Here is an 8,490-nt window from a genome sequence, read left to right as displayed (position 1 = left end):
AGGTGGTGGTATAGTTTTTGTTTCAGTCGTCAAATGTGATTTTAAGAACTGTGGATTGTCTCGCGTATGTATCCACATTTCTGGTCTTTCCTTTGTCCCTCCTCCCATAGTCCCATATTCATCCCTTCTGCATAAGAACTTTCTGTAGCCATTTTTTTATTTTGATTTTTTTGTTTTAATTTTTTGTATTGTGGAAATGACACAACATATTTCTGTAGCCACTTTTTAGCATTTCTAAATTGACCGGTGACAAATTCCTATATTCTCTTCCTCTCAGAATGTCTTTATTTCTCTCTTCATTTCTGAAGGGTAGTTTCATGGGATATAGAATTTGCAGCCAACAGTTTTTTTGTTTGGTTGGTTTTTTGTTTGGTTGTTTTTTTTTAAGCACTTGAAAATGTTGTGCCACTTCCTTCTGGCCTCCATGGCATTTGAGTTGGCGTGTCCCTACAGGCATTCTGCCATTTTTGGTCTTTGTTTTTAGTTTTGAGAGTTTAATCAGTGTTGCTTTCTTTTGGTATACTTTGAGGTTTGCTCAGCTTCTTGAATCTGTAAGTTTATATCTTTCACCAAATGTGGGAAGTGTCAGGAATTAGTTATTTGCATGCTTTCGCAGCTCTGGTCTCCTGTGGGACTCAGATAACATAAATGTGGGGTCTTTTGTTATCATCTCACAGGTCCGTGCAGCTCTGTTCATTTGTTTTCAGGTTATTTCCTATCTATTGTTTAGGCTGGGTGAATTCTGTTGATCAGGTTTCAGCTTCTCTGATTCTCTCCTCTGTCGTCTCCACTTTTACTCAATAGAGCCCATCCAGTTAGATTTTTTTTAAATTTCTGTTACTGTATTTCATATTTCTGTAATTTCCATTTGATTCTTCTTCAGTTTCTTTGCTGATGTTTTCAGTTCTTTGATTGTTGCTGTAGGATTTGTAGTTGCTTGTTGAAGCACTTTTATACTGACTGTTATAAGTGATGAGTCAGATGGTTCCAACATCTGCCTATGTAATTTTTTTTATTTTTGCAGGCAGTCTTCCTGTTTAGGTTTAGTCTGTAGGTCTTGGTCTACTTTGTGGGCTGAGATTCCAATGGCAATTTAATTTCAGAGCCTTCATGGTGTTATTTTGGTCTGTTTGGCTTATATGTATCACTGGGATTCTCCCACCAGTCCCTGCTGTTGCCCACCTGAGGGAACAGGGGAGCTGCCCCAGGCTGGGCCACCTGCTGCAGCTAGATGGGTGGGGAATGGTGGTTGTCTTGGTGTGTGGAGCTGGTTTTCTTGTTGTGGGGAAGATCTCCTTTGATCTGCGGGGACTGAGTCTGCCTGGGTTGCCTTCTATTGCTACGTTAGGAGTTGGGAAACTCTGGGCCTGGGTCACCTTCCTATTGGATGAGGTCCAGGGAGACACCTGGCCACTATGCATTCCCTAGTCCTAGAGTCCCTCAGCAGCCTTTTTCTGTCCACCTTTTGGAATTCTCCATTGATCATCTCCTGTCTATTATTTCTAGAGTTTGGGTTACATTTCTTAGGAGGGTATAATGTATTATCTTCTCTAGACCAGAAATCCTTAGTGGTGGTTTCGGGTTGTAACTGTGCTAAAGGGAGAATTGGCGTATTTGTGATGTCGAGTCTTTCTTTTCAAATGAGGACATATCATTATTCAGTAAATAATATTTACAACACCTACTTCCTTGGGTTGAAGAATGTGGTTAAGGCAAGGAAAGTACTTAACACAGTGCCTAGTGTGGAGAGCACTTACAAGTGTTGGTAGTGATGCTATTCCTTTTGTCCTTTGGTAGCATATTAAAGCTTTTCTTTTTTTTAAAAAAAATAAAGTTCCAGTGCACTTCTTGTGAGGTTTATTCCTATTTTATCCTTTTTTGCTTTTATTACAAATAGGAGCTTCCTATCTTTTATAACGTCTACCTGGTTCTTTGGCCCTTATGTGAAAATGTTTTAATAGCTTTCTAAACATTGCTCTCCCAAATGAGTTTTAACTTGCCTCTTTCTTTTGTTTTCCTTTTTTTGAGACAGGGTCTCACTCTGTCACCCAGGCTGGAGTTCAGTGATGCAATTATGGCTCACTGCAACCTCTGCCTCCCGGGCCCCCAAAGTGCTGGGTTTACAGGTGTGAGCCACTGCACCCAGCCTTACCTGTCTATTTCTTTTAAGAGTGGGAATTATAATTGAGCCCAGAGCTCCAACAACAAATGAAGGAATGAATGAGTGAATAAGCTCTTCCCATGGGTTTGGTGTGGTTTGGGGCTCTACTCTTAATCTAAATGCTATGTTTTATATAATCTAAAATTTCCCCTAGGTGTGTTACATGATTGTGTTGTGTTGAACTTACATTGAGACTCCTTTTCACATATGCTGGTTATCAGCGTGGGACTTTTCCATTCACTCTTTGAATTATTCGCTTGGGGGACACAGATAGACCTCTGTGTCTTTCATAAAGAGTGTCCATTGGCCGGGTGCAGTGGCTCATGCCTGTAATCCCAGCACTTTGGGAGGCTGAGGAGGGCAGACCACGAGGTCAGGAGTTCGAGACCAGCCTGGCCAATATGGTGAAATTCCCTCTCTACTAAAAATACAAAAATTAGCCAGGCCTGGTGGCGGGTGCCTATAATCCCAGCTACTCGGGAGACTGAGGTAGTAGAATTGCTTGAACCTGGGAGGCAGAGGTTGCATTGAGCTGAGTTCATGCCACTGCATTCCAGCTTGAGTGACAGAGTGAGACTCCATCTCCTAAAAAACAAAAACAAAAACAAAAGAGTGTCCATTATCTATACTGGAAAAATTGAGATTGGGATTTTGACATGAAGTGCAGAAATGTGGATTGGGTCCATTTAGTTTACCTAAACAGATGATGAAATACTAACTGTTCTACGAAGCATTCCCTAGTGCAAAGTTTTGCCTGTGTGTGTAGTGACGGGAACAGTGAGAATGAGGCTTGGAACGTGGAGCGCATTGTGGGCCTGTTGTGGGTGGGGCCAGCAGCACATGCATGCCTGGCTCACAGAGCAGCCTTTGGGTGTTCTTTTCCCAGAGGAGCTCTATGGTGACTTTGAAGACTTGGAAACAGGGGATGTGCACAAGGGAAAATCGGGCCCCGATACTCAGGTATGACTTTGTCGTAGCTGGCTGTTCTTGGTCATTGTGTTCTGAGAGAGGCCCACATTGAGAAATGCAAATCTTACTTGTGATGTGTGAAGATTGCAGACTGGATGGATAGATTCCTTCCTAAAGGGTGGGGATGTGGGGACCAAAGAGAAGCTTTCTTGTTTACTTGTTAAGTTTTGGATGACAGTTACTACTGTTTCTTGCCATAGTCATTTGCCAAGTCCACTGTGATTTTTCACTCACAGAAGTCTTAGCTTCTCAGACTTACATTCAACCATTGCCATCATTCTCCTCTTTTTAATTTTAAGTGTCATTTAAATGAATGAAGTCCCTGTTCTCCCTAATATTTCTTTAGAACAGGTTCTGGGAACATCTGGGTGAGGGACATGTCTGTTATTTTTATTCTAGTTTGTGTTCCCAGCCAGCTTAAGGAATAGCAGCTAATTGTAATGCAGATGTAACAATTTCCTGTAGCAGTACCATGTTATTCAGAGAAAAAAGGTTGTGTTGTGGTTTGTTTCGTTTTATTGATAATGGTAACAGATTTTTGCTAAGATTTTTGTTTAAATAGAACTTTAAAAAATCTAATGTTTAAAGAAAAGACCTTCATAAACATACACAAAATTTTTTCTTCTGGAAATTTAAGAATGAAGATATAGAGAAACAAGGAAGAAATTGACCCCGACAAAGAAGAAAGTGCCAAGAAAAAGCATTTGGATAAGAAGAGAAAATTGAAGGAGATGTTTGATGAGGAATATGATGAAGGAGAAAGCACATATTTTGATGATCTTAAAGGAGAAATGCAGAAACAAGCACAGGTGAGAAACCTCAGTTCCTCTCAGCCCCTTGTCAAGACTGTCACATAGTGCAGGAATCCCTGACTTTCTTTGGGTCCCTGCTTCCTATCCTGCTTCTGTGCCTTTCATTTGGACTCCTGGGTAGATGTATGTGAGTGTGTTTATTCATGCAGTGAGCTCATTGTTTCTACAGTCAGAAGGTCACCAGAAAAAGATCCATATCTATTTTGTAACAAGAATTAGGAAACCGAAATGACTGAAACATGGTCTCTACTTTTGAGACTTTTACAATGTAGTGATCTGAGACAGTGTGTTCATTTCAGTGCAAGCCAATGCTGCCTATTCTGATCGCTGCTCCCTGATTTGAGTGGCAGGTGATCAGTGGCCTGTGTGGCTTATGGACACACCAGAGCTCCCAGGGGAAGTGCTCTGAAAACTCATCCTGGTCAGAGTTCAGAAGGACATGTGGAGTATAAGGTCAGATGCGGAGATAAGGGAGATGGTGTGGCCCTCCTGCCTGGGGGTGCTGAGCAGGTTGTTGGAGGCAGTGATCTCACTCTGAAGGAGACAGACACAGAAACATGTGTACAGTTGATGGTAAGCATCTGAGTTGTGTCTTGTTAGCGAGGCCAGGAGTGCCTGTGTAAGCTGGAACAGATTAGGTATATGATTTGTGAAATGGAGTTTCATCCTAGATCTTCATCTAGTCAAAGTACTGTTTCCTGATTAAGCATTAGCTTAGTGGTTGCTAGTCTGTGTTGACCTTTGAAAGGCATGACTAGGCTAACTGAAGTTTTTGCTTCACACCATTTACAATTTAAAACTACCCAGAGCCTTGTGAGCCATTGGAAAAGACTGAATGTTTCACTCTGAAATGGGAGTCCTTGGAGGGTTTTGAGCAGAAGAGAGACATTCGGGTAATCAGATCACTCTGCCAAGAGATCAGTCTGGTAGAGATCAGTCTGGTGGCACAAACCAGAGGGCTGACAGTGGAGATGAGACAAAGAGTCAAACCTGGATAGAGTTTATTTGGAAGCTGGCTCAGCAGGATTTCCTGGTGGACTGAATGTGGGGTGTGTGAGAGGAAATGAGGATGGCGACTGGAAGTTCCTGGAAGGATGGGTTGTTGCAGGTTAGATAGGAAACCCTCTGCAGATGTAGTTTTGGGAAGATGATGTTTGGTTCGGCTGGGTATCATGCAGACAAGCGGAGTGTCAAGTCTGGAGAGACAGGTCTGGCCAGGGACTTAGATATACAGCCCTCAGCATGTAGATGCCACTTAACGCTGTGAGGTGGCCGGGGAGTGAGTGCAGAGTGACTGGGAGGAGCAAGACTGGCATGGGCGAGATGGGGCGATTGCGGCCGTGAGGCCTGAGCAGTGCCTAGGAGGGAGAGGGAGAAGCAGTGTGAGCATGCAGGCACACAGGAGTCCAGTTGTACACAGAGGCGAAGCACCGTTCAGATCCCCTGCTGTGTTAACTACGGTGAAAGCAGAGTTGACCACTGGAGGAGTCCTTCAGCGTGGAGGCCTTCAGCGATCTTGGCAAACACCAATTTTCATGGATGTAGGAGAATGGGAGCAGAGGAACTGGAGGCTGCAACTGCAGAAAACTTTTGTGGGGTTTTGCTGCAGAGAGAAGCAGAGAAATGAAGCAGTTGTTGGTGGAAGAAGTGGAATCAAAAGGTTTTGAGAAAAGAGAGAGAACAGAGGGAAGAGCTGTTGGAATAAAGTCCAGGAAGAGTGGATGGTGTCTAGTGAGCAAGTGATGTGTGGCCCTGAGTAGAGGCATGGACAAATCATCTGTGCCTGAGCTGCCCATAAAACTTTCTGTGATCATGGAGATGCACGTCTGTGCTTCCCAATATTGTAACACTGGCCGCAGGTTGATATGGGCCGCTTCCAGTGTGACTAGTGTGATTGAGGAACTGCATTTTAAATATTATGTAATTGTAATTAATTTTAATTTAAATAGCCACACATAGCTCCTCTATGGGCCAGGTCAGAGCTCTGATAAGGCTGGATATGGGAGGAAACCCTGGTAGAGGGTTGACCGTAGAGGTTCTTTTGGTTTTGGAGTGAATCAGGAAACAGCCATCAGCTGAGTGAAGGTGAGGATGGTGGTGGGTGTTTGAAGACAAGGGAAAAGTGTGAAAGAATTATTTGGAGAGGAAGGAAAGAAGGTGTGGACTGGGGATGTTTCCAGTGTTCAAGCACGCAGGGCTCCACAGTTATCTACATTTGCCGTGCCTTGTAGCAGGAGAGAAGAAAACGGTTGAGACATATTCTGAACAGACTGTAGAGGTAAAATGTGTAGGTTTTTTTTGTTTTTTTGTTTTTTGAGATGGAATCTCGCTCTATTGCCCAGGCTGGAGTGCAGTGGCATGATCTTGACTCACTGCAACCTCCGTCTCCCAGGTTCAAGCGATTCTCTCACCTCTGCCTCCTGAGTAGCTGGGACTACAGGCACGCACTACCACACCCAGCTGATTTTGGTATTTTTAGTAGATATGGGGTTTCACCATGTTGGCGAGGCTGGTTTCAAACTCCTGACCTCATGTGATCTGCCCGCCTCAGCCTCCCAAAGTGCTGGGATTACAGGCATGAGCCACTGTACCCGGCCAAATGTGTAGTATTTTTAATAGGATAAAGCCTACATAATTCTGTCCACAGTTCCTTTACTTAGAAATTGCTCATTTGTTCATGTTAATCCTATGTTTATTACAGATAACAGCATACAGGTTTTTTTCCCCCCGTCATGTACAGCTGAATCGCACAGAATTTGAAGATCAAGATGATGAAGCCAGAGTTCCTTATGAGTGTTTTCGACCTGGGATGTACGTCCGCGTTGAGATTGAAAATGTTCCCTGTGAATTTGTGCAGAACTTTGACCCCCATTACCCCATTATCCTGGGTGGCTTGGGCAACAGTGAGGGAAATGTTGGAGACGTGCAGGTGGGTCCCTTTGCTGCATATTTGGTGCCTGAGGCTCTGTGGATTTCCCCTCCATCAATCATCTTACACTCTCATCCCCCTCAGATGCGTCTGAAGAAACATCGCTGGTATAAGAAAATCCTCAAGTCCCGAGATCCAATCATATTTTCTGTAGGGTGGAGGAGGTTTCAGACCATCCCGCTGTATTATATCGAAGACCATAATGGAAGACAAAGGCTTCTAAAGTATACCCCACAACACATGCATTGCGGAGCAGCCTTTTGGAGTAAAATATGATTACAATAACTTGCCTATTGCCGAGATTAAACCTTACAGGCTGTGTTATTTTAGCTTTTTGCTTTTCCTTTCATAAAATTCCACTCCTAAGATTTTTCTCTTTTCTGGGAGCAGGGAGGTGGTTTGGAGTATATATGTAAATCTATATCCAAATCTAAATGTCCATATCCAGTATGTTAAACTAGAATCTAAAATTTGTGGTTTGCTATATTTCTTTTTTTCCTTTTCCTTTAAGACCCTGTCACTCCACAGGGAACTGGTTTCTTGGCAATACAGTCTGTCAGTGGCATAATGGTAACTATCTTGGATGATTTCTTTTACAGATTGGTTTGAGAAATATATCCTGAATGTGGGTTATTATGTACATCAGACTTTAAGTTGAAAATTACACATTTTTATTAATATAAAGTAAATTTCCCTTTGCTTTTAATCTTTGTACATCCTTTTCAGTAGGGTGTGGGATTAGAGGAGGGGAGGTGGAAGAATTATGATGGTACATTTCCTATTTTTGTGCATCTTTTGCATTTATTTATCTAAGGAGATACTTAAGCAGTGCTCACCATGTGCTAAGCACTATATGAGGTTGTGAGGAGCCATCAGAGACCACCCAGATACAAGACTCCCTGCAGCTGTGCTGGGGTAGCAGTCTGTTCACTCCATTTTCATTTGACCAGTCAGGCAGGGCAGGGTTTACTGGTCCCATTTAACAGAGAAGGAAGCAGAATAATGAGCAGATGGAATCTTCCCTGGAGGTCCAAATTTTAGTTTCCTAAACATTGCAACTGTATTTTTCTTTTCCATTTCGTTCCAAATAAATCATTATAGTAAAATTACATTCCTCTGAAATCACTCTCAGGAAAGTACTCAAGTAGCCTTTTTTTTTTTTTTTTTTTTTTTTTTTTTTTTTTTTTTTTGAGAGAGTCACACTCTGTCGTCCAGGCTGGAGTGCAGTGGCATGATCTTGGCTCGCTGCAACCTCTGCCTCCTGGGTTTAAGTGGTTCTCCTGCCTCAGCCTCCCGAGTAGCTGGAATTACAGGTGTGCACCATCATGCTGAGCTAATTTTTGTATTTTTAGTAGAGACGGGATTTAGCCATGTTGGCCAGACTGGTTTCAACCTTCTGACCTCAGGTGATCCACCTGCCTTGGCCTCCCAAAGTGCTGGGATTACAGGTATGAGCCACTGTGCCCGGCCTCAAGTCACTCTTGTTAGTTTGGCTTACCAACTTTAAAGTTTTGGATTGCTTTTGTCAAACCACTGGGTTGCAAGTTCAGATGGTCTCTCTTGTTTTTCTTAGCTAATTGTAAGTAAAATTCACTTTGGTAATTTATTGTGTCAAATAG

General features: G+C 42.8%; 1 pseudogene; it reads left to right on the top strand.

Moving 5' to 3' along the window:
* The first annotated feature begins 3,001 nt into the window (after positions 1-3,001).
* Positions 3,002-7,669, top strand: LOC102724031 (ribosome biogenesis protein BMS1 homolog; annotated as a pseudogene).
* The last annotated feature ends 821 nt before the right edge of the window (positions 7,670-8,490 follow it).

This window comes from Homo sapiens (genome assembly GCF_000001405.40).
Source record: "Homo sapiens chromosome 16 unlocalized genomic scaffold, GRCh38.p14 Primary Assembly HSCHR16_RANDOM_CTG1".
In the NCBI taxonomy this organism is placed as follows: domain Eukaryota; kingdom Metazoa; phylum Chordata; class Mammalia; order Primates; family Hominidae; genus Homo; species Homo sapiens.
This window is presented reverse-complemented; position numbering and strand designations above follow the sequence as displayed.